Here is a 22983-nt window from a genome sequence, read left to right on the forward strand (position 1 = left end):
GGACACCAACGATGACACAAAATGGCAGCAAACAGTGGAAGATGGTAGTCAGAGAAGGCAACAGAGTTCTCAGGAAATGGAGTCCAGAAGTTGTAGAATTTGGACTGTGGGTATGGCAGGAGTGGGGGTTGGGGGAGGCGTTGTAGATGAAGGCAGGGAGAGGCGCAAACAGGTGGGGTGAACAGCAGAGGAAGAGGCAGACAAGTAGGGCACATGTGACCTTCACGAAGTACAATTTCAAAGACTCACTGATGGAATAGCCGGGTCATGGGGAGCTGTGGAGCGCTTGACTGGGCACAGAGCTGGGTCTCATTACGAGAAAACTGAACAGCATGATGAGAAGTTTGCTGTGAAATGCAGGGGGCTTTGGCACTAGACAGGCCTGGCTAGGAGCCCACACTGCCACTCATTGGCTGTGTGATTTGGGGCATGCTCAGCCAGATTTTGATCCAACAAGCAAAACCATCATGTGATGTGATGTGTGTGTGTGTGTGTGTGCGTGTGTGTGTGTGTGTGTGTGTGTGTGTGTTGTTATATTACAGAGATTTGACCTCACATAAACATGAGAGATGTGTGCACAGTCCAGGAGAGACAATTTTCCCCTGTCCGGTGCTGGAGCCTGAAGTCCTCAGGGCAGGAGGCCGGGAAGAGAAGGTGGACAAGAGATGGAGGAAGCAGGGACAAGCTGAAATCTAAGGCTCAGCTGCCACCCTCCTCACCCTGCTCTCCATCTCCACACCTCCAGCTTACACGACCACATGAGATCCACGGGGAGCTGGAGGAGCCTGGAGCCTGTCTGCATCCCTGCCATCTAGGACATCAGCAGAGAAGCCACAGGTCGGGAGCTGCAAAGATGGATGCCTTGTGCCCTGCCCCAGCCTCCCAAGGGTAAAGGAATATGGCTGCACCTTTCCTTCCATCTTCCAAGTCTCGCACATTGCTAGGGTTTGAATGTGTCCCCAAATTTCACGTGCTGGAAATTTGATTCCCAATATGGCAGTATGGAGGAATGAGGCCTTTCAGAGGTGATTGGTTATGGTGATCCTGCCCTCATGGATGGGTGGATTCATTCATGGACTAATGGGTTCATGGACCAATGGTTATCATGGGAGTGGGGCTGGTGGCTTTATAAAAGAGGGGATGGGCATGGTGGCTCACTCCTGTAATCCCAACACTTTGGGAGGCCGAGGCAGGTGGATCACTTGAGGTCAGTAGTTCAAGACCAGGGCAACAGGTGAAACACCAACTCTACTAAAAATACAAAAATTAGCCGGGTGTGGTGGCAGGTGCCTGTAATCCCAGCTACTTGGGAGGCTGAGGCAGGAAAATTGCTTGAACCCAGGAGGCAGAGGTTGCAGTGAGCCAAGATTGCACCATTGCACTCCAGCCTAGGCAACAGAGTGATACTCCATCTCAAAAGAAAAAAAAAAAAAAGAGGAAGATAAATCCGAGCACCTTAGCACCCTCAGCCCCCCTTGCCATGTGATGCCCTGACCACCTCATGACTCTGCAGAGAATCTCCACCAGCAAGAAGGCCCTCACCAGATTTAGTCCCTAGACCTTGGACTTCTCAGCCTCCCAAAATGTAAGAAATAAATGCCTTTTCTTTATCAATTACCCAGCTTCAGATATTCTGTTATAAGCAACAGAAAATGGACCAAGACACACACAAACATCCTTCCCTGCCCATGTTACCTCAGAACTTTTCAGGGAGGGGAATTCTAGGAAATGCAGTTACAGTTTAGCAGACCTACTGCAGTGCAAACCCACCACAGGCCAAGTCACTGAACTCTGCTAGTGTCCCCATGGGACAGCCATCGCCTGCCTAACTGGGAGGTCTGAGTGTTATAATACCTAGAGAAGCACCACTGGCCAGCAAAAAATGTTGGCTTCTTTCTGCCATCCCCCACCCACTCTCCTGAGGGAGGTGAGAGGAGTCCCTCTAGGCTATTAGAAATGCTTCAGGAAGATCAACTGATTACAAGGTAAGGAATTAATGGAAAGGGATGGTGCAGATTCAGGGTTTGTAGGGCTGAAGTGTATATAATAGATGGAGCCCTCTTTATAAACAAATACACAACTCACTATAAAATTAGGCACAAAAGTATTTCTTTTTCTTTTCTTTTTTTTTTTTTTTTGAGATGGAGCCTTACTCTGCACTCAGGCTGGAGTGCAGTGGTGCTGTCTCAGCTCACTGCAACCTCCATCTCCCAGGTTCAAGCAATTGTCATGCCTCAGCCTCCCAAGTAGCTGGGATTACAGGCACCTGCCACTATGCCTGGCTAATTTTTCTATTTTTAGTAGAGATGGGGTTTCACCATGTTGGCCAGGCTGGTCTTGAACTCCTGACCTCAGGTGATCCACCCACCTCGGCCTCCCAAAGTGCTGGAATTACAGGTGTGAGCCACCACATCTGGCCAAAAGTATTTCTTTAGAATGATATACAGGTTACAATTTTTTTTTTTTTTTTGAGACAGAGTCTTGCTCTGTGGCTCAGGCTAGAGTGCAGCAGCATGATCTCAGCTCACGGCAACCTCCACCTCCTGGGTTCATGTGATTCTCCTGTCTCAGCCTCCCAAGTAGCAGGGATTACAGGCACATGCCACCACGCCTGGCTAATTTTTGTATTTTTAGTAGAGACGAGTTTCACCATGTTGGCCAGGCTGGTCTTGAACTCCTGATCTCAGGTGATCCACCTGGCTCAGCCTCCCAAAGCGCTGGGATTAGAGGCGTGAGCCACCGCACCCAGCCATCAAAGATGTAACCTTGAAACAAACTGCAGAAGCCTTTTCCCTTAGCCTTAAAATGGACTCCATGTCCCTCCCTTCTTCACCGTATAAACTCCCTTCACATTTATCTAACTGTATGCCCGTGTCTAGTTACGTGCCTTCTTAGAGGTTCCAGACGCTAATCTTGAGACAGACAGACCAAGCCTGGAGATTCTTCTGCAAAATTCCACATGTGACCTCAAGGCGTCTAATTAAGAATCCAGCCATTGTTGAGATGATGCCAGACCACAGGCTTCCTGTGGACTAGGACCCAAGACAGCCACCGGAACAAGACAAACAGACAGTGTACTTAGCATAATCCTTGCCTGACTTCCACATCGTTTTCCCGTTTTAAACCCTTGCCTTGGCCGGGCGCGGTGGCTCACGCCTGTAATCCCAGCACTTTGGGAGGCCGAGGCAGGCAGATCACGAGGTCAGGAGATCGAGACCAACCTGGCTAACACGGTGAAAACCCATCTCTACAAAAAACACAAAAAATTAGCCGGGTGTGGTGGCGTGCGCCTGCAGTCCCAGCTACTCGGGAGGCTGAGGCAGGAGAATGGTGTGAACCCAGAAGGCGGAGCTTGCAGTGAGCGGAGATCACACCACTGCACTCCAGCCTGGGTGACGGAGACTCTGTCTCAAATAAATAAATAAATAAATAAATAAATAAATAAATAAATAAATAAAATAAATAACCCTTGCCTTTCCCACTCCCCATACCCCACAATTCAACGTGATTGCTTTGGGGATAGGAATCCAACCACTTCCCCTTGCTAGCTTTGGAAATAAAGTCACTTTCTTTCCACCACATCTTGCTCTTGTTAGACTCTGCAAGCAGCCAGCGACTGAACCAGCATTCGGTTACATCCCCTGAGGCGGATGACACTTGTGTGATCCTGTAACCGATTTCTTGTTAGAATGTTGGCATCTTTCACCCAGTCGTTTTCTTGTAATTTTATTTATTTGTTTGAAAACAGAATCCTTCTTGCAATCCTGTCATTTTCAGTGCCTTTTTTTTTTTTTTTTTTTTTTTTTTTTTTTTTTTTTTTTGAGACGGAGTCTCGGTCTGTCACCCAGGCCGGGGTGCAGTGGCGCAATCTCCGCTCACTACAACCTCCGCCTCCCGGGTTCAAGTGATTCTCCTGTCTTAGCCCTCCAAGTAGCTGGGATTACAGGCGCCGGCCACCACGCCTGACTAATTTTTGTATTTTTAGTAGAGACGGGTTTCAGCCATATTGGCCAGGCTGGTCTCCAACTCCTGGCCTCATGTGATCCGCCCACCTCGGCCTCCTAAAGTGCTGAGATTACAGGCGTGAGCCACCGCGCCTGGCATCAGTGCATACTTTTTGAAGTGATTCCAAGTTATCGCCCGCTTTTTTCGTGTAACATATAAATACATCTCTGTATCTAGAAATATCCAATGCATAATTCAATTGTCTGCGAGGTATTTCATCACGTATTTTCACGAGCGTGGCCAATTTCAAAATAGTTCTACAAAGAGGAAATGCAAGAATGTGGGAAGAGCAAAAGAAAAGCTCTATGTTGCAAAACCCATTTTTGCTAACGTGTCCAGTGGGCTCCCGGGACGACCTGTTTTTAAATTCTTGGTCTCCCTGCACCGCGTCCCTCCTTTGCTGCGCTAGCTTTATGACGCATCTTGGAAGAACAGGGCAGATTTAAAACCCTCTCCCAACAGGCGTCAAACGACATGGTGCAGGCTCGGGCTGGGGAGCGGGCCTGCGGCTGCCCAGCTGCTAAAGGACTTCCTACTCGTGCACCGCCGCCGGCTCCAGGGCAAACCCCACGCCATTTAGAAATGCTGGAAGTTTCTGTCTCTCCCTCCCCCTGCTCGGAGGCCATTCCCCCCACCCCCAGAGCCCCACCTCCTCCTTCACTGGGCCCTTTCTAACTCCTTCCCCTTAAAACCCTTTTCAAAATGGGGTTGACTGGAGGCGGAGGTTGCAGTGAGCCGAGATCGCCCCACTGCACTCCAGCCTGGTGACTCCGTCTCAAAAAAAAGGGGAGGGGGGCGGGGGAGAGTTGAAAGCTTAATATGTACTTTGGGGGCTATTAAAGCAAACATTTCGACTAAAGGGGCGAATCCTCGAATTGTGCGATCAAGCACCCGAGAGGAGAGTTGGGGGGGGTCAGGAGGGGTGGGGGCTCCAGGGAAAGCCCGGGGGTCTGGGCCGGGGTCTCGCGGGGCCCTTCCGGAAGGATCGCGGCCCCCGAAGGTGGGCGTCCCGCGGGGCTCCAGTCTCCAGGACGTTCCGGGAGGCTCCGCGCTCTGGGAGGCCGGCTGCGTGGGGTCCCCGCGCTGCAGCCGCAGAGGCCCCCCAGGGCCGCGGTTCCCGGAGCGGGAAAGTCCCGCGCGGGGGCGGTGGCCTCGGGGGCGGGACGGGGCGGGGGCGGGGGCGCGGGCGGCCGAGCCGAATCCCCTCCACCGGGACGCCCCGCTGCTGCTCGGGAAGAGGCGGGCCCTGCGCGCCCTGCGCTCGCCATGGCGGTTTGGGCGGCGACGTGAGCGGCTCCGCGGACCCCGAGCGGGGCCCCGGCCGCGACCTGAGCCGCCGCCGAGCGCCCGGGGCCATGCGACCGACGCTGCTGTGGTCGCTGCTGCTGCTGCTCGGAGTCTTCGCCGCCGCCGCCGCGGCCCCGCCAGGTGAGCCGGGCCTGGGCCTCCGCGGCGGGACGCGGGCGCAGCCGCAGCATGTGGGGGCTGGGGGACTCCCGGATCGTGGGGTGGGGGGAATCTGCCGGGTGCTCAGAGTGGGTGGGAATCTGCGGGGTGCTCCTGGTGGGTGGGATATGCGGAGTGCTCAGATCAGGTGGGAACCTGCGGGTGCCCCAGGTGGGGGTCTTGCGGGGTGCCCAGGGCTAGAGGGGCCCGCTGGGAGCCCGCAGCGGGGCTGGGATGGGCGGCCAGGAGTTCCAGACAGGAGCTGGGCAGCAGCAGGAAGACGGGGGGCACCCCTCCTGGCGTCCTGGCCGCCGGGACACCCCTCTCCGGGAGAGGACACTCGGTGCCCCTCCGTGAAGCCGGTAACCTCGGCTGCGCCACCTCCCCCACCCGCGCGCCCGCGCCGGGAAAGCCAGCGTGGCCCCAGTCTCCGAATTTCTCGGAATGAACAACAGCAAATTGAATCCAGGGCTCCGGCGGGGGCCGCCTTTGCTGGCCACTGGTTCTGCAGCCTGGCGAGACTGCGCTTAGTCCCCGCCTGGAGTGCCTCCCGAAGGCCTGGCTGGAAGCTAGACTCAGTCCCTTTGTAGTAGCAGCGGTGGAGCAGGGACCAGCGTCTTGGACGGGTGACCCAGACTCAATTCCGACTTTGGCCGAGGGCATGTTTGACACTGGGTGTGAAATCTAGACAGTTCCCGCGGTCATAGAGATGGGGCAGCAGCATTCAGGCAGGGCTCAGAACTGTCCGGGTCCCATCAGTGTTGGGGCGGAAGAGGAAGAGTGTCAACTGAGCCAGGCATTTATTTATTTTATTGTTGTTTGAGACAGGGTGTCGCTCTGTCGCCCAGGCTGGAGTGCAGTGGGCAGCATCTCAGCTACTGCAGCCTCCGCCTCCCGTGCTCAAGCGATCCTCCCACGTCAGCCTCCCAAGAAGGTGGTATTATTGGCCACGCCTGGCCAATTTTTGTATTTTTTGTAGAGAGGAGGTCTCACTGTGTTGCCCAGGCTGTTCTTGTACTCCTGAGCTCCAGCAATCCACCCGCCTTGGCCTCTGAAAGCGCTGGGATTACAGGCTTGAGGCACCGTGCCCAGCTGAGCCAGGCTTTTAAAACCGGTTCTGTCCCTACCCAGAGAGCTTCTTACCTGGCGGCCTCCTTAACCTCTGACACCAGCTGACCACGCTTATGAGCCAAACATAAAAACCAAAAGAAACCCAGGCTTGGTGGCTCACGCCTGTAATCCCAGCACTTTGGGAGGCTGAGGCAGCATCATGAGGTCAGGAGTTCGAGACCAGCTTGACCAACATGGTGAAACCCCCGTCTGTGCTAAAAATACATAGCTGGGCGTGGTAGCGCCCGCCTGTAATCCCAACTACTCAGGAGGCCGAGGCGGGAGAATCACTTGAACCCGAGAGCTGAGATCTCACCACTGCACTCCCGCCTGGGCGACAGAGCAAGACTCTGTCTCAGAAAAAAAAAAAAAAAAAAAAGAAAAAGAGGAAAAGACCTTAATGACAAATGTGTGGCTAGAACATTCTTGTGTATGTATCTGCTTTTGTTTTGCTGGGTTCTTTCCCCTGGGGAGAGTGATATCATAGGAGTCTCGAGAATTTAGAAGATTCTTCCCATTCGAAGCTATAACCTTGTGTTGTGGGTTTGTTTTTTCTACCGGCATTCCTTGCAAAGGCCCATAAGTTCCGTATCTCCTTGATCTGGGGTGCCTTGCACTTGAGGAAATTATTAACTGCTTTTCCATGGGAGTCAGACAGATGGGTTCAAATCCTGACTCTGCTTCCACTTGGCTTCACGTCTTGAGCAATCTGCATATGCCTCCTCCCTAGGCCTCCTCCTAATGAGAGTTGATGATTGTCCTAGTGTGGGATCAGCAGGCGAGTGACTTCATGCCAGAGAGGAGTGACTAGTGGTGATCTGTGGACTGTTTGTGACTTACCTGTGATGAGTCCAGAGGTTGAAAGATGTATTTAGAAACTATAGTCTGACATTGCCACAACATCCAGCTACCTGTCCATCTTGTTAATGATTAACTTTAATTGTATTCTACAAAAGTTTTGGTCTATGTGATATGTTGCAAAATAAAAAAATTTTAAAAAGTGAGGCCAGGCTCGGTGGCTCACACCTGTAATCCCAGCACTTTGGGAGGCTGAGGCGGGCGGATCACCTGAGGTCAGGAGTTCAAGACCAGGCTGGTCAACAATGATGAAACCCCGTCTCTACCAAAAATACAAAAATTAGGGGGCGTGATGGTACACACCTGTGTCCCAGCTACTCAGGAGGCTGAAGCCGAAGAATCACTTAAACTCAGGAGGCAGAGGTGCAGTAAGCTGAGATCACACCACTGCACTCCAGCCTGGGCGACAAGAGCAAGACTCTATCTCAAAAAAACAAAAACAAACAAATAAAAAAACTGGCTCCATTGATCCTTTGAAAAGTAGTAGCAGCTGGGCACGGTGGCTCATGCCTGTAATCCCATTACTTTGGGAGGCAGAGGTGAGCAGATCACCTGAGGTCAGAAGTTCCAGAGACCAGTGTGGCCAACATGTTAAAAACCCCTTCTTTACTAAAACTACGAAAATTACCCGGGCGTGGTGGTTGGCGCCTGTAATCCCAGCTACCTGGGAGGCTGAGGCAGGAGAATCACTTGAACCTGGGAGGGGAGGTTGCAGTGAGCCGAAATCATGCAACTGCACTCCAGCCTGGGTGACAGAGCAAGACTCTGTCTCAAAAAAAGAAAAAAAAAGAAAAGAAAAGTAGTGTAGTGCTTTAAACTAATCTCTATTTTGCAACTATTTGAACATTTTCACATTAAACAGCTTAAAAACAAACCTAATGGATATCTTCAAAAGAAACACTCTTTTAGTCAAAACACAAAGTGAAAATATTCACAATGATTATATGGCAAATGGGTGGTAGAAAGGTTTTCACACTTTCCCATAACTTACCGGTGTAATTTTGAAATTGCTTTTATGGTCAGAGAAAAAAAAAAGTGTTGGAAACTTTTTTTTTTTTTTTTTGAGATAGTATCTCTCTCCATCGCCCAGGCTGCAGTGCAGTGGCATGATCACAGCTCACTGCAGTCTCAACCTCTTGGGCTCAAGCCATCCTCCCACCTCAGCCTCCTGAGTAGCTGGGACTACACGTGCACGCCATCATACCTGGCTAATTTTTGTATTTTTTTGTAGAGATGAGGTTTCACCGTGTTTCCCAGGCTGGTTTTGAACTCCTGGGGTCAAGAGATCCACCCGCCTCAGCCTCCCAAAGTGCTAGGATTATAGATGTGAACCACCCAGCCTGGCTCCGGAAACAGATTTTTTAAAGGGAGACATAGTATCTATCCCTTAGAGTTCTGTAAGAGTAGAATATGTAAAATATGGGACCTGTGGCAATTTGTAGCCATGAGCTGTTAAGTAGTGGCCGTTTGCGCTAGATAGAAAAATGTAACCAACAGCACAAGTGCAGTAAATCAACTGACCAGTTAGTTACCTGAGTGTTGAGGAATTAAGGCTTCTATTTGTAATTGTAGCAGGTGCTGCTGACTTTTTCAGGGGATTGGATATGTACTGTGCCACAGAATTTTTTATCATTATTTGCTGACTTGAACAGCCAGAGCTTCTCATATGCTTAGAGACCACCGAGAAAGACAGTAAGTCCCCAGCAACTTAAAAACCATTGCATGTGAATGTCCACTGGGTAAGCTCCTGAGTGTTCATAATCTCAGCAAGTGAAAATATCATGTAGCTGGAATGCTTTTGCCACCTTTATAAACGATCATGATAGTAACATTTATTGGTCAGACGAGATGCCAAGTGCTTTATATACATTACCTCTCTTAATTTTCTCAGCCATTCTTTCGAACTAGGTTATATCTCTAGTTTACTTCCTGGAAAGTCAAACCTTTCTTGATAGGAAGAGCCAAATAATCTAGGTCAATAACTTGATGTCCAGTTGTTGTTGTTGTTTTTGAGACGGAGTCTCGCCCTGATGCCCAGGTGGGAATGCAGTGGCGCTATCTCGGCTCACTGCAACCTCTATCTCCCAGGTTCAAGCGATTCTCCTGTCTCAGCCTCCCAAGTAGCTGGGACTATAGGCACCTGCCACCATGCTTTGCTAATTTTTATATTTTTAGTAGGGACGGGGTTTCACCACGTTGGCTAGGCTGGTCTCGAACTCCTGACCTCAAGTGATCCCCACCGCACCCCCCCCCGCCAACCCCCGCCAGCCTCAGCCTCCCAAAGTGTTGGGATTACAGGCATGAGCTACCATGCCTGGCCTAGTATTTCTTGAAGAGAACAATTTCCTGGTTATGGCTGAGGAATCAGAAAATGCCTTTTTATTTCTCATCTGCAAGGTGATGGAGGTGGGATCAATGATGTTCACCTAATTGACTTTCATCATAATGTCCCCGCCCCCAATAGAAAGATCCTAAAGGGTCAGTCCTTAATTATCAAGATTAAATGATTAATGTTAATTATATTTTATTTTATTATCTGTGTGTGATAAGTGTTAATCAAACTATGCTGTTAAGACCCAGGATATCCTCCTATTCTTTTTGTTTGTTTGTTTGATATGGAGTTTTGCTCTTGTTGCCCAGCTGGAGTGCAGTGGCATGGTCTTGACTCACTGCAACCTCCACCTCCCGGGTTCAAGTGATTCTCCTGCCTCAGCCTCCCAAGTAACTGTGATTACAGTATGCACCACCGCACCTGGCTAATTTTTGTATTTTTAGTAGAGACAGGGTTTCACCACGTTGGTCAGGCTGGTCTCGAACTCCTGACCTTAAGTGATCTGCCTGCCTCAACCTCCCAAAGTGCTGGGATTACAGGCATGAGCCACCGCACCCAGCCCCTCCTATTCCTAAATATGCATAAAGTCTGAAATGCCTGGATCTGGGATAGGTAGATCAAAGGTGTTGGGATGGGTCAGGAAGGCAGAGTTGTTCATTCACCTCTTCACTGGTTGTTAAATGGTCCTAGTGTTTGGCCCTGAGTGTATAAAAATGATTAAGACAATGAATGTAGAGAATAGTCTACTTAGAGACCTTGTCAGAATGTCTGTATTACCATGTGTACTATAATAGATACACATACACTATGTGCCATGATTTTTCAAAAGTGCTAGAATAGAAATATTTTTAAATGTTATAGGACACTACTTGCCAGGAAGAGTTGAAGAAAGTCCAATAGAGGAAGAACAAACTGAGCTGGGTTTTGAAGCATGGAGTTTCAGATTAAAGAAAAGAAGAAAAGGCCAGGTGTGGTGGCTCACGCCTGTAATCCCAGCACTTTGGGAGGCCGAGGCAGGTGGATCACTAGGTCAGGAGTTCGAGACCAGCCTGGCCAAGATGGTGAAACGCTGTCTCTACTAAAAATACAAAAATTAGCTGGGCACAGTGGCGGGTGCCTGTAATCCCAGCTACTCAGGAGGCTGAGGCAGGAGAATCGCTTGAACCCAGGAAGTGGAGGTTACAGTGAGCCTAGATCGTGCCACTACACTCTAGCCTGGGTGACAGAACAAGACTGTCTCAAAAAAAAAAGAGGCCGGGCTCAGTGGCTCACACCTGTAATCCCAGCACTGTGGGAGGCCAAGGCAGGCAGATCAGGAGGTCAGGAGATCAAGACCATCCTGGCTAATAATGGTGAAACCTCGTCTCTCCTAAAAGCACAAAAAAATAGCCAGGCGTGGTAGCAGGTGCCTGTAATCCCAGCTACTCGGGAGGCTGAGGCAGGAGAATTGCTTGAACCTGGGAGGTGGAGGTTGCAGTAAGCCGAGATCACGCCACTGCGACACTGCACTCCAGCCTGGGGGACAGAGTGAGACTCTGTCTCAAAAGAAAAAAAGAAAAAGCAATATGCAAAATTATGTAGGTCCAAAATAAAATAGGATAGAGTTTATGGTATTTTAGCGAGTGGTGGTGATTGGTCTGGGATAAGATCTTGAAGGATTTTCAGCTTACTCAAGTCTGAACTCTACCCTCCATGCCAGGAATCGGCAAAGTTTTTCTGTAAAGAACTAGACAGTATGCACTCAGATGGTTACAGAAGTTTGATTAAATGGCTGATTTCTGAATTAGGTATGGCGCTTGAGACTCTGCCTAGGGAGAGTGCTCAGGTCATGCTTATATGTGAAAATGTGTCGTTATTTTTTCCTCTTGCTCTCACACATGTCCCTTGGTTTCCTAAGTGAGGTTTTGAAAATGAAATTTTGACAGTTGAGCCAAAATGCCCTCTATAAGCACGTGTATTTCCTTCTTTAAAGAATTCCCTCTCAGGAATTCCCTCTCTAATGTATTGTAAGATTTGGGGTTCGACCATTAACGCATTAGTCCAGTTCAATAAGCTTCATTTTTTTTTGTTGGTAGCAGGGTCCATTTTATGGGCGAACATACCAGTAAGTTCCTTGCCTTCGGGGAAGTTTAAGTTTATTAAAAGCAGTTACAGATATATTACAGATGTATTATACAGGAGGTTCTCAAGAGGCAAGAAGGTTCAGCAAGTTCATTGTCTTAATTACAATAATTTTTTTTTTTTTTTTTTGAGACAGAGTCTCTCTCTGTCACCCAAGCTGGAGTGCAGTGGTGCAATCTCGGCTCACTGCAGCCTCCACCTCCCAGGTTCAAGTAAATTCTCTGGCTCAGCCTCCCAAGTAGCTTGAATTACAGGCACCCACCACCATGCCTGGCTAATTTTTATATTTTTAGTAAAGATGGGGTTTCACCATCTTGGCCAGGCTGGTCTTGAACTCCTGACCTCATGATCCACCCACCTTGGCCTCCCAAAGTGCTGAGATTACAGGCGTGAGCCACTGCGGCCAGCCTACAACAATTTTTTTTTTTTTGAGACAGAGTCTCGCTCTTGTCGCCCAAGCTGGAGTGCAGTGGCGTGATCTCAGCTCATTGCAACCTCCACTGCCGGGTTCAAATGATTCTTGTGCTTCAGCCTCCCAAGTAGCTGGAAATGCAGGTGTGCACCACTATGCCTGGCTAATTGTTGTATTTTTAGTAGAGACGGGGTTTCACCATGTTGGCCAGGCTGGTTTCAAACTCCCAAACTCAGGTGATCCGCCCACCTCAGCCTCCCTAAGTGCTGGGATTACAGGCGTGAGCCACCACGCCCATCCAATTAGAATAACTTTTTACATGTTGTATTTTTAAAATTCATAACTCATAATCTAAAATTTATGCTCAGCACAGCTAACTTTGGAGACCTACCAAGAATGGTGCAATGATTCAGCAGCTACTCATGGTAAGACAAGAGTATCTGGGTGTAACCTGTATGAAACCTGCATCTCACAACCACTGCTCCTTCTCCCCAGCCTTCCAGCCCTGGTGTTTCCCATCGGGGGCCATGTGGCCTGGAACACAGAGGCTGGGCTGCCCAAGGACAGGCCCCCTGGCCTACAAAAAGGACAGTCTTATCACAGATGTGCAATCCTTGGCACTTCCCTGTGGCGTCTGCAGTTCTGAGACTGATTTTCTTCTATAAATGTGAAAAGATAGGGGATGATAGGAAACCCGGATATAAGGCAGAACAATGTTGCTTGGGCCATCTCTTACACCTCAGTGAAACGGAAAATGAAGGAAATGGAAGGCTGGCATGGGAACCCCGACTTATACAGTGATGCCCTTTTGCTGTTCCACGCGTCGCTTGGGGTGGAAGCCCTTCCTTGTCCCCTCGCCACCCACCCCGGAGCCCCTTGGTGCTTCCTTTCTGAACTGAATGCTTAGACTGGGGAACTAGAGGTGCCCGGAAAGGGAAGTCGGGAAGAAGAGACTATTCCTGTTGGTTCCTCCCCAGAGATGGGAGATGGTGAACAGGCGTGTGGAGGGCGGAATAATGGTCCCCAAAGATGTCCACGCCCTCATCCTCAGAGTCCGTGAACCTGGGAATGTGCTGCCTGACGTACAAAAGGGACTCCGCAGATGTGAGTAAGTTAAGAGCCCTGATGTGGGGAGATTGTCTTGCATTGTTGGGCCAAGTGGCCTTATACCACCACAGGGTCCCCAAAAGATGGAGCAGAGGCAGAAGGTTCAGTACCAGGGAGACAAGAAGGATGCGGCCAACCTTGCTGGAGGAAGGTGCCCTGAGCCAAAGAATGGGAGTGGCCTCTAGAAGCTGGGAAAGGCAAGGAAATGGATTCTCCCTGGAGGCTCGAGAAGGACCCCAGCCCTGCTGATAACTTGACTTTAGTCAGTGAGACTGACTTTAAACTTCTGACCAGCAGAACTATAAGAAAATAAATTTAGATGTGATTTTTTAAAATTTATTTATTTTTAGAGATGGGGGGATCTCGCTATGTTGGCCAGGCTAGAGTGCAATGATTATTCACAGGCATGATCATAGCACATGCACTACAGCCTCGAACTCCTGGGCTCCAGTGATCCTCCCGCCTCAGCCCCTTGAGCAGCTGGGACTACAGGTGCGCACCACCACGCCCAGCTAAATCTGGGTTGTGTGGAGTCACTAGGTTAGTGATAATGTGTTACAGTGATAAGAAGAACCTAATACAGGAAATAAAAGGAGTTGTCAGATTCTTTGAATGCCCAACCCTAAGCAGACACTCACCCTGTTCCTGGAAAGAGCCGGGTCCAGCTGCGTTTTCTCATGGCCCAATAACAAGAAGCAGACAAACTAGGAAGAAAGAGAATTTATTGCTGTAACAGGAAGGTCGGAGATAATCCGACCAGACCAACTCAAAGTGTTTGATTTTCTTTGTGCTTACATAGGTTTGGGTTATGTGCCTATGTGTGGTATTGCACTAAGTCTATGAGTAACTAATTTTGTTTCAACTAGAAAGTCAGAGGCCAAAAATGTGCTTTCTAAGTCTAATCAAGCTGTGAGGTCCCCGATACCGTCAAGGCCTGTCTCCTAAATTCTATTTAATGAGGACTGTGGTACCAGAGCATTTATTTATTTATTTATTTTTGAGACGGAGTGCCGCTCTGTCGCCCAGGCTGGAGCGCAGTGGTGCAATCTTGGCTTGCTGCAACCTCCGCCTCCCGGGTTCAAGCGATTCTCCTGCCTCAGCCTCCCAGGTCGCTGGGACTACAGGTGTGTGCCACCATGCCTGGCTAATTTTTCTATTTTTAGTAGAGACAGGGTTTCACCATGTTGGCCAGGCTGGCCTCGAACTCCTGACCTCAGGTGATCCACCACCTCAGCGTCCCAAAGTGCTGGGATTTCAGGCATGAGCCACTGTGCCCGGCCAGGAGTTTATTTCTATCTTGTCTCATTTACAGTTTGGTCCGGAGAGCTGCCTTAGACTCTCCAATAAATCTATTCAAACAGCTGCCTCTGTTATCTTGACTTGCTCCAGGTTTGGAAGAAGCCTGTGTAGGATCTGTGTTTCATTTCTGGCTTTGATGTCTGGGCGTCAGTTTCCCTGGGGTTAATTATTAGCTTAATGTGAAGGCAGCATTGTGGAAATTTCTCTGCATAGTTCGGATGCTATTCAGATCTGTCTGTGTGACTGTCATGCAGGCCTCTCTGTGTGACTGTGAGGGAGCATTGACCTGCCACCACCCCCCTCTGGAAGCATCCAGTCCCCAACTGGCTTTGGGCATTGCTAGGTCATAGCAGCCACAGCACACCTGGTGGGCCTGCCTCTTGCCACGCAGCTTTACCTGTCTGCCTTCGGCCCAGGATGTCATGAGGCCTGCTGTGTGTCAGGAGAAGTGTTGTTAGCTGGTTGGGTGAAGGTCACCCAGAGCTCATAGGTGTGGAGGGGAGGGGCATCCTATAACTAAACAAATGGCCGCAGACTTGGCAATTCATCTTTCAGAAGAAGAGCCAGTGGTCAGGCTGTCAGCTGATCTCTTTGAGGTTGAGCGCATTTACCGAAAATGTGTGGCTTGAATTTCCTGCTTTGAATTTTGGAACAGCATGTTTTTCAAACCTTTCTTCCACCTTCTGGGCATTTCTTATTAATCTTTTTGGTCAAAAGCCTTATCTTGATTATGTTTTCTTTCTAAGACAAAGGGCTCCCTGTGAAGTACCTGCTTGGGAAAGGGAGGAGTTGTGGCAGTTTCTTCTAGGTCCCCGAAGGCTCCCTGTGAAGTACCTGCTTGGGGAAGGGAGAGGTTGTGGTTGTTTCTTCCAGGTCACCCCAAAGAGAGGGATTCTGATATTGGTGGTGTTTCCGGGGGAGTATATTCTTTCTCTGTTTATTGCCCCCTAACCTTTTTTTTTTTTTTTTTTTTTTTGGAGACAGAGTCTCTCTCTGTCGCCCAGACTGGAGTGCAATGGTGCGATCTCAGCTCCCTGCAACCTCTGCCTCCTGGGTTCAAGCGATTCTCCTGCCTCAGCCTCCTGAGTAGCTGGGATTACAGGCGCTCACCACCGCACCTGGCTAACTTTTATATTTTTAGTAGAGACAGAGTTTTGCCATGTTGGCCACACTGGTCTCAAACTCCTGACCTCGAGTGATCTGCCTTCCTTGGCCTCCCACAGTGCTGGGATTATAGGTGTGAGCCACTGAGCTCGGGCCGTGTTGTCCTCTAACTTTAATGTGTGTGAGAAGCAGCTGGAAAGCTTGTTTAAAATGCAGATTTCCTGGGGGCCTCAGGACCTGCACTTTAACCAGCACCCCTGTGATTGCGATGCTGGGGGTCCTTGAGAGACGACAACTCTGATGGTGCCCAGAAGTCGGCGTTCCTTGCCCTCCCCTGCAGCTTGGGCTTTGCGTACCTGATTTAGGATGTTTGTGTGTTTTTGCGTGTGTAGTGTGTGCACGTGTGCACGTATTTGCGGACATTTACCAGACACTTCCTTGGTACTAAATCTGAAGCTAACGCGTGTCACATGATCACCACGTTAATCTTCGCCACAGCCCTGTGGGTGTATCATTATTGACCCCTTATTCCTGAAAAAGAAAACTCAAGCTCAGACAGGTGAAGTGACCTGCCCCGAGCCTAATGCAGTTACTAATGGTAGAACTGGGACCCCAGTCCGGCCAGACTCCAGGGCCCAGGACCTGTTCGTAACAACTGGGACCTGCAGGTGGAAAGGCTGCCCCAGGCGCCTCTTTTCTTTTTGTGCTGCCTGTACCAGTAGGGCCATCTTTGTAGCCAAAAGTCGGGGGTGTGGGGCCATGCCCAGGGGGACCTGGTAATGCCATTTCTGCACTTTGACAAAAACTGAGTTGTATGAATGACTTAGATAATGGACATTGAAACATTTTTGTAATTATTTCCCTCTCTCTCCTCCCTTCCTCCCTCTTCTTTTTCTCTGTCCCCCTCAAGACCCTCTTTCCCAGCTGCCCGCTCCTCAGCACCCGAAGATTCGCCTGTACAACGCAGAGCAGGTCCTGAGTTGGGAGCCAGTGGCCCTGAGCAATAGCACGAGGCCTGTTGTCTACCAAGTGCAGTTTAAATAGTAAGCCGGTATTTCTGTTGGATCCTTGCTGGGAGCTGTGGGGGCATCGTGCGGAACCCTGGGGCCACATACTAGTCCCTGCCTCTGTGCAGGGTTTGTTATCAAACCCGTGGGAAACACATCGTTCTTGGAGCTTGTAAAATCTCTGAGGACAGAGGTTTCACAGCCTCCCACTCATCTGAAGGCTTAAACTACACTGGCAGTCAGGACTCCGCTGTCTAACCACACGGGTTCTTGCTTTGGTGGAAAGTTCATTCTTTCGCTGGTTTCAGGAGAAAGGTTGTAAAAATAGGCTTCCACCATGGAAGAACAGGAGGCAGCTTTTAGTCTTCATCTTCGGGCTTAAAAATCGGATTGATTTAACCTTATAGACCAAATATGGCCTGATCAGAAATTTGTTTGGTTAATTACAATGAATTCTGAGTTTCTCAACTGGTTTTCCATTTTGCATATTATCCTGGCTCTTTCATCTGTCTCTTGCCTCTTCAAGCTTTTGCAGAATTGGCCATCACTTGATTTGCAATATAAATACATATAGAAAGAGGGCAAAGTCCACATCCTTTGTTATTTTTTGTTTACGTTGTTAAGTAGGTTAATTGAAGAGTAAGGTGAAGTTATTGGCTAAGTCATTTTGTACTATTTGGTAAACCAAATGTAAAGACATGATGATGTCCAGTGCTTGTGAGATGGGACTGGTTCATATGTGTTCACCTGATGCTGTTTGCAGAATCAATTAGCATAGCCCTTTCAAAGAGGAATTCTACCAGACATTTGAAGTCATGGAAATGTCCATAGTAGTTTTCCAATGTGTGTGTGTGTGTGCACGTGTGCATGTGTGTCTGTTTGTTGTTGTTGTTTTGAAACAGAGTTTCCCTCTATCGCCCAGGCTGGAGGGCAATGGCATGATCTCAGCTCACTGCAACTTCCACCTCCTGGGTTCAAGTGATTCTCATGCCTCCTGAGTAGCTGGGACTACAGGCATGAGCTACCATGGCTGGCTAATAGGTATATTTTTAGTAGAGATGGGGTTTTGCCATGTTGGCCAGGCTGGTCTCAAATTCCTGGCCCCATCCTCAAGTGATTTGCCCGCCTGGGCCTCCCAAAGTGCTGGGATTGCAGGCATGAGCCACCGTGCCCAGCCTTCATAGTAGTTTTATCCTACACAGATAATTCAACCCCCCATCAAAAAAAAGAGAGACAAAAACTATAATCATGAAGAGATACATGGAAGTGTATATTCATATCCATCAGTAGGAAAGTGACCAATTTTAGCCTGCTAACTTACGCTTGAACACTAAACCACAGACAGCCAATAGAAAGGATAATTAGATGTCATCTGGTAGAAATTGCAACTCTGTAAACTTTGGCATGTATTTGTATTTTTTATTTCTTATTTTTGTTACTTAAAAAAATTTTTTATTCACTTTTATACTGAAAAGTTGCAAGTGGTATGTATTTATTGTCAAGAATAGAAAGGGGCCGATCATGGTGGCTCACACCTGTAAAAGAATAGAAAAGTAGGCCAGGCATGGTGGCTCACGCCTGTAATCCCAGCACTTTGGGAGGCCAAGACGGGCGGATCACGCGGTGAGGAGATCGAGACCATCCTGGCTAACACGCTGAAACCCTGTCTCTACTAAAAATACAAAAAATTAGCTGGGTGTAGTGGCGGGCGCCTGTAGTCCCAGCTACTTGGGAGGCTGAGGCAGGAGAATGGCGTGAACCCGGGAGGCAGAGCTTGCAGTGAACCGAGATCGTGCCACTGCACTCCAGGCTGGGCGACAGAGCGAGACTCCATCTCAAAAAAAAAAAAAAAAGAATAGAAAAGTAATGTGGAAAAATGACAGGCAATTGATTTGTTAGAGGAGTAGGTTTCCAGGTAACTTGTTTTTCTTTTTCTTTTTCTTTTTTTTTTTTTTTTTGAGACAAAGTCTCCGTCACCCAGGCTGAAATGCAGTGGCACGATCTTGGCTCACTGGACCTCCGCCTCCCAGGTTCAAGCAATTCTTATACCTCAGCCTTCTGTGTAGCTGGGATTACAAGTGTGCACCACCCCACCCGGTTCAGATAACTTCTTTTTTTTTTTTCTGAGACAAGGTCTCACTCTGCCCCCCAGGCTGGAGTGCAGTGGCATGATCATGGCTCAATGCAGCCACAATTTCCTGGCTCAAGAGATCCTCCTACTTCAGCCTCCCAAGTAGCTGGGACTATGGGCGCACACTGCTGTACCCAGCTAATTTTTAATTTTTTGAAGAGATGGGGTTTTGCCATGTTGCCCAGGCTGGCCTCGAACTCCTGGGCTCAAGTGATCCACCCACCTCAACCTCCCAAAGTGCTGGGATTACAGACATGAGCCATCACACTGGCGTTTCTTATTTGTTTTTAAATGTCCGTTGTAACAGTATTTGCTTAATAGAAACAGGTGCTAAACTGAGGTTTGAGAGTTATCTCTAAATCACATTGATCTGTTCCTCCAGTAGTTATAAATTACGAACATTAAGTTACCTGTAATTAATGGAGCAATCCACCAGAGCAGGCTACACAATTTGCAAGACCCAGTGCAAAATGAAAATGTGAGACCCTTTATTTAAAAAGTATTAAGAATTTCAAGATGGCAACCGCAGAGCATCAAATGAAGTGCCTTTCTGAGAACGGGCTTGATGTGAGCGCACAGGTCACATGTCAGGAAGTTGGCCCTACCCTCAGCATTCAGCAAACATTACACCCTAGAGCTAAACAAGAAGCTTGTTGTGAGAGTCACGGCTGATGTATTGACTTAGGCTTGATGCTGATTTATGGGCTCCTTGGCCTTGAACAAGGAAGTACGTTTACTGATTTTCAGAGGAGATGCTTCTAAAAATGGGATAAAACGTTATTGCATTAAAAAAAAAAACCTTTGATAGAGTTTCATTTGATAAACTAACCTGTTTCACTTTGTCTTCTTTTCAAAAAGCATTTTATAGATATTTTCTCAGGGATAAAGGTTGGTTTTATTTTTTATTTATTTATTTATTTATTTTGAGACAGAGTCTCGCTCTGTCATCCAGGCTGGAGTGCAGTGGCGTGATCTCAGCTGACTGCAACTTTCGGCTCATTGCAACCTGCGGCTCACTGCAGCCTCCGCCTCGTGGGTTCAAGCGATTCTCCTGCCTCAGACTCCTGAGTAGCTGGGATTACAGGCACCCACCACTACGCCCGGCTGATTTTTATATTTTTAGTAGAGACAGCTTTTCACCATGTTGGCCAGGCTGGTCTCGAACTCCTGACCTCAGGTGATCCGCCCACCTAGCCTCCCAAAGTGCTGGAATTATAGGTGTAAGCCATCACGCCCAGCCTAGAGGTTGGTTTTAGTAAAAGAAACATAGGTTAGGGTACATGTGAATATTCCTGTTAGAAAAAGGTGAAATCGGGGATGATTTCTTTTTCTTTTTCAGTTTGTAGATTTGATAATGGAAGAGGGCCTTTGCATTTGTTTTTAGATACTTTGTTTTAGATACAAACATGTGTTTGGGACTTTTTATTAGTTTTGAGGCTTGTGAGACTTAAATTTCCACCGTGTTTCTCTACAATAAAGCATTGCTATGATTAAAAATGAAGATGCCTTTGTTTTTTGACAGAGTATCAAGACCAAAATTACATGGAGCACTTGATGGGAGAATTTCAAGTCTAAATCATGGGTAGCAGACAGTGGCTGCAGGCTATTTGGCTCCCAGTGTTTAATTTTTTTTTTCTTCAATTTGTTGCCAACATTAAGAAATCTGGACTTTTCACTTAGAAAAAAATAATAATAAATAACAGGAAAAAAAACCAATCCTGATGTCAGTTTTCCTTGAAAATGCAGACAGTCGGGCAGCAAGGCCCCTTCCAGATCACGCCTCCTGGTCTACTGCCAGCCCCTCTCTCAGACCTGCCCAGCCCTGTCTTCTCAAACATTTGTTTTTCATTTTCTTCTGATTTTAATAGCAATCCATGTTCTTTATAGAAAATCTGGACAATCTAGAAAAGTAGAAGAAAATAAAATAACCTGTTGTTCTACACTCTAAGAATAATCACTATTCTCATTTTATTTTACTTTTTATTTTATCTTATTTATTTATTTATTTGAGACAGAGTCTTACTCTGTTGCCCAGGCTGGACTGCAGTGGCGTGATCTCAGCTCACTGAAACCTCCGCCGCCTGGGTTCAAGTGATTGTCCTGCCTCAGCCTTCCAAGTAGCTGGGATTACAGGCGCCCGCCACCATGCCTGGCTAATTTTTTTGTATTTTTAGTAGAGATGCAGTTTCACCATGTTAGCTAGGCTGGTTTCGAACTCCTCACCTGAAGTGATCTGCCCGCCTCAGCCTCCCAAAGTGCTGGGATTACAGGTGTGAGCCACTGCACCCAGCCATTATTCTCATTTTAGACTTTTTTTTCTAAATTCGTTCTCTTGTTTGAAAATTGTGTGTGTGTGTGTGTGTGTGTAAACCAAACCAGACTGGGGTCACACTTCTGGGGTCTATTTCCTTTTTTATTTTAACTTGATGTAGTTAAATGTGAGCATTTTTTCATGTAATTATTTCTGTGTGGACATTGTATGTTTCATTATGTGACATATCACATGTGTTGTATTTAACTTTTCCCCAGTCATGGGCGTAGACAGTTGGCAGCTTGTGCCTGTCCTAAGTCATGACCTCGTACATGAATCATATCTGGTTATTTTCTTACACTTCTAGAAGAGAGGTTGCTGGGTCAAAGGGGATGGACTTACTTAATGTTTTTGTGAGTGACCTCACAAAGGCTGGACATAGCTCTTGAGTCCCAGGGACAGGCTGAGCCCCGGCAGTGGCAGGGGTTTGGGGGAGCAGGCCCTGCACTGCATTTGAGGAAGAGCCGTGCATGTTGCTCTTGGAGGAGGAGGAGCGGGGCGGTTAGAGGGTCTTTAGGTATCTGTCTACCTTGAAAAAGAAATCACTCACCTCTTCCAGAGCACGCCCCTCACCCCCGACCTGAGAGGAGAGGCTCGTGGTTTGCGATCCCTCTCCCCATTAGGGTCTGTCACCCTGGGGCTGAGTAGTAGGTATCTATGGCGGGTGTCTTCATGGAAGCCCTGGCCACGCATCTTGAAGTGGCTTTCATCTTGTCCCTTGCAACTTAAGCGGAAGATGCATCTTGGAGAGGGTCGGAGGTACAGTTAGAAGCATGTGTGGTACGTGAAAGCCGGTGGTCGTGGGGATACAGAGCGGTCTCCAGTCTCGTCTCCTGTCTCCCATGGCCTTGCTTTCTGGGCCATAGTTGCTGTTGTAGGGGGATACTGTCCGCTGCCCCTACTCAGGCTCCCAGCAGCCACCTCCTTGGCCTTTCTGAAGTCTGTCACCTAAGGCAAAGAGGTCAGAGCTGGGGACTAGAGTCCCACGTGGGAGTGTGGCATTGGGACTCTGGGAAAGGCACTGTCATTCACAAGGATGTGTGGCCATGTATTTGGCAAGGTTTTCATATGGGTGAGACAAATCCTCTTTGAATGGGCAGCTATGGGTGGAAAGAAACTCCGCACCAGCAGGAAGCAGGACTGGAGTTTGTATTAACACAGTTCCATTCCCAAAACATAGGCTACAGAGACTGAGTTTGAAGTATTAAAATCAGTTATGGGATGGAATGGGAGAAAATATTTGCAAATCATCTATCTGACAAGGGACTTGTATCCAGAATAGATAACGAACTCTTACAATTCAACAATTAGAAGACAAATAACCCAATTAAAAACCACAGCTGGGCACAAGGGATCACACCTGTAATCCCAGCACTTTGGGAGGCCAAGGCAGGAGGATTACTTGAGTCTAGGAGTTCAAGACCAGCCTGGGCAACAAGGAGAGACCCCCAACTCTACAAAGAAATTAAAAATAAAAATAACAGTAGCAGCCAAGCACAGTGGCTCACGCTTGTAATTTCAGCACTTTGGGAGGCCGAGGTGGGCGGATCACATGAGGCCAGGAGTTTGAGACCAGCCTGACCAACATAGTAAAACCCCGTTTCTACTAAAAATATAAAAATTAACCAGGCATGATGGTGCATGCCTGTAATCCCAGCACATTGGGAGGCCAAGGCAGGTGGATCACTTGAGGTCAGGAGTTTGAGACCAGCCTGGCCAACATGGTGACACCCCATCTCT

At 48.3% G+C, this 22983-nt stretch overlaps 1 protein-coding gene across 2 annotated transcripts in view, besides 19 other annotated features; it reads left to right on the top strand.

The window, feature by feature from the left end:
• Nucleotides 3775-4962: a transcriptional cis regulatory region, noted in NCBI's record as "chr21:34774264-34775451 region (GRCh37/hg19 assembly coordinates) targeted for CRISPR interference". NCBI's record gives its function as "negatively regulates IFNGR2 gene expression in THP-1 monocytic cells {active_cell/tissue: THP-1}" and the evidence as "EXISTENCE:mutant phenotype evidence [ECO:0000015][PMID:33828297]".
• Nucleotides 3775-5448: a biological region, named in NCBI's record as "IFNGR2 promoter region". NCBI's record gives its function as "regulatory_interactions: IFNGR2".
• Nucleotides 4178-4816: a promoter, noted in NCBI's record as "0.6 kb -1182 to -545 fragment used in the reporter gene construct". NCBI's record gives its function as "drives IFNGR2 transcription with moderate activity in transiently transfected HEp2 endothelial cells {active_cell/tissue: HEp2}" and the evidence as "EXISTENCE:reporter gene assay evidence [ECO:0000049][PMID:8910544]".
• Nucleotides 4178-5334: a promoter, noted in NCBI's record as "1.2 kb -1182 to -27 fragment used in the reporter gene construct". NCBI's record gives its function as "drives IFNGR2 transcription with maximal activity in transiently transfected HEp2 endothelial cells {active_cell/tissue: HEp2}" and the evidence as "EXISTENCE:reporter gene assay evidence [ECO:0000049][PMID:8910544]".
• Nucleotides 4188-5355: a promoter, noted in NCBI's record as "-1172 to -6 fragment used in the reporter gene construct, where the GRCh38 reference assembly represents the ATT haplotype". NCBI's record gives its function as "drives IFNGR2 transcription with higher activity for the ATC haplotype than for the CCC and ATT haplotypes in transiently transfected Jurkat T cells {active_cell/tissue: Jurkat}" and the evidence as "EXISTENCE:reporter gene assay evidence [ECO:0000049][PMID:22057826]".
• Nucleotides 4347-4962: a transcriptional cis regulatory region, noted in NCBI's record as "chr21:34774836-34775451 region (GRCh37/hg19 assembly coordinates) targeted for CRISPR interference". NCBI's record gives its function as "positively regulates IFNGR2 gene expression in GM12878 lymphoblastoid cells {active_cell/tissue: GM12878}" and the evidence as "EXISTENCE:mutant phenotype evidence [ECO:0000015][PMID:33828297]".
• The window catches only part of IFNGR2 (interferon gamma receptor 2), a 34635-nt gene continuing 16350 nt past the window's right edge, over nt 4699-22983 (top strand). The window contains exons 1-3 of one of the 2 annotated variants that reach the window (NM_001329128.2): nt 4699-5433; nt 12653-12709; nt 16705-16837. In NM_001329128.2, coding sequence (NP_001316057.1) covers nt 5361-5433; nt 12653-12709; nt 16705-16837 — 263 coding nt within the window. In that variant the 5' untranslated portion in view covers nt 4699-5360. The remainder of the gene's footprint in view (nt 5434-12652; nt 12710-16704; nt 16838-22983) is intronic. The other variant, NM_005534.4, reaches the window with a different exon arrangement.
• Nucleotides 4909-5448: a silencer, noted in NCBI's record as "silent region_13256". NCBI's record gives its function as "represses an Ori minimal core promoter by ATAC-STARR-seq in GM12878 lymphoblastoid cells {active_cell/tissue: GM12878}" and the evidence as "EXISTENCE:reporter gene assay evidence [ECO:0000049][PMID:35858748]".
• Nucleotide 4945: a transcriptional cis regulatory region, noted in NCBI's record as "rs8134145 SNP tested in combination with the rs8126756 and rs17882748 SNPs in reporter gene assays, where the GRCh38 reference assembly represents the ATT haplotype". NCBI's record gives its function as "influences IFNGR2 promoter activity in combination with the rs8126756 and rs17882748 SNPs, with higher activity for the ATC haplotype than for the CCC and ATT haplotypes in transiently transfected Jurkat T cells {active_cell/tissue: Jurkat}" and the evidence as "EXISTENCE:reporter gene assay evidence [ECO:0000049][PMID:22057826]".
• Nucleotides 4950-5354: a promoter, noted in NCBI's record as "0.4 kb -411 to -7 fragment used in the reporter gene construct". NCBI's record gives its function as "drives IFNGR2 transcription with moderate activity in transiently transfected HEp2 endothelial cells {active_cell/tissue: HEp2}" and the evidence as "EXISTENCE:reporter gene assay evidence [ECO:0000049][PMID:8910544]".
• Nucleotide 4955: a transcriptional cis regulatory region, noted in NCBI's record as "rs8126756 SNP tested in combination with the rs8134145 and rs17882748 SNPs in reporter gene assays, where the GRCh38 reference assembly represents the ATT haplotype". NCBI's record gives its function as "influences IFNGR2 promoter activity in combination with the rs8134145 and rs17882748 SNPs, with higher activity for the ATC haplotype than for the CCC and ATT haplotypes in transiently transfected Jurkat T cells {active_cell/tissue: Jurkat}" and the evidence as "EXISTENCE:reporter gene assay evidence [ECO:0000049][PMID:22057826]".
• Nucleotides 5126-5146: a protein binding site, noted in NCBI's record as "NF-kB-binding probe". NCBI's record gives its function as "binds the NF-kB p50 and p65 subunits but not the c-Rel subunit in MonoMac6 monocytes, with enhanced binding upon Bryo-1 treatment {active_cell/tissue: MM6}" and the evidence as "EXISTENCE:protein binding evidence [ECO:0000024][PMID:16888033]".
• Nucleotide 5232: a transcriptional cis regulatory region, noted in NCBI's record as "rs17882748 SNP tested in combination with the rs8134145 and rs8126756 SNPs in reporter gene assays, where the GRCh38 reference assembly represents the ATT haplotype". NCBI's record gives its function as "influences IFNGR2 promoter activity in combination with the rs8134145 and rs8126756 SNPs, with higher activity for the ATC haplotype than for the CCC and ATT haplotypes in transiently transfected Jurkat T cells {active_cell/tissue: Jurkat}" and the evidence as "EXISTENCE:reporter gene assay evidence [ECO:0000049][PMID:22057826]".
• Nucleotides 5459-5538: a silencer, noted in NCBI's record as "silent region_13257". NCBI's record gives its function as "represses an Ori minimal core promoter by ATAC-STARR-seq in GM12878 lymphoblastoid cells {active_cell/tissue: GM12878}" and the evidence as "EXISTENCE:reporter gene assay evidence [ECO:0000049][PMID:35858748]".
• Nucleotides 5559-5608: a silencer, noted in NCBI's record as "silent region_13258". NCBI's record gives its function as "represses an Ori minimal core promoter by ATAC-STARR-seq in GM12878 lymphoblastoid cells {active_cell/tissue: GM12878}" and the evidence as "EXISTENCE:reporter gene assay evidence [ECO:0000049][PMID:35858748]".
• Nucleotides 5749-5798: a silencer, noted in NCBI's record as "silent region_13259". NCBI's record gives its function as "represses an Ori minimal core promoter by ATAC-STARR-seq in GM12878 lymphoblastoid cells {active_cell/tissue: GM12878}" and the evidence as "EXISTENCE:reporter gene assay evidence [ECO:0000049][PMID:35858748]".
• Nucleotides 5800-6963: a transcriptional cis regulatory region, noted in NCBI's record as "chr21:34776289-34777452 region (GRCh37/hg19 assembly coordinates) targeted for CRISPR interference". NCBI's record gives its function as "positively regulates IFNGR2 gene expression in GM12878 lymphoblastoid cells {active_cell/tissue: GM12878}" and the evidence as "EXISTENCE:mutant phenotype evidence [ECO:0000015][PMID:33828297]".
• Nucleotides 5829-6329: a transcriptional cis regulatory region, noted in NCBI's record as "chr21:34776318-34776818 region (GRCh37/hg19 assembly coordinates) targeted for CRISPR interference". NCBI's record gives its function as "positively regulates IFNGR2 gene expression in THP-1 monocytic cells {active_cell/tissue: THP-1}" and the evidence as "EXISTENCE:mutant phenotype evidence [ECO:0000015][PMID:33828297]".
• Nucleotides 14018-14772: an enhancer, noted in NCBI's record as "H3K4me1 hESC enhancer chr21:34784507-34785261 (GRCh37/hg19 assembly coordinates)". NCBI's record gives its function as "activates a minimal SCP1, AML or CMV promoter by ChIP-STARR-seq in naive H9 embryonic stem cells {active_cell/tissue: H9 hESC(naive)}" and the evidence as "EXISTENCE:reporter gene assay evidence [ECO:0000049][PMID:30033119]".
• Nucleotides 14906-15074: a silencer, noted in NCBI's record as "fragment chr21:34785395-34785563 (GRCh37/hg19 assembly coordinates)". NCBI's record gives its function as "represses an EF-1alpha promoter that drives an FKBP-Casp9 reporter gene in an ReSE screen in HepG2 liver carcinoma cells {active_cell/tissue: HepG2}" and the evidence as "EXISTENCE:reporter gene assay evidence [ECO:0000049][PMID:32094911]".

This window comes from Homo sapiens, chromosome 21, assembly GCF_000001405.40.
Source record: "Homo sapiens chromosome 21, GRCh38.p14 Primary Assembly".
In the NCBI taxonomy this organism is placed as follows: domain Eukaryota; kingdom Metazoa; phylum Chordata; class Mammalia; order Primates; family Hominidae; genus Homo; species Homo sapiens.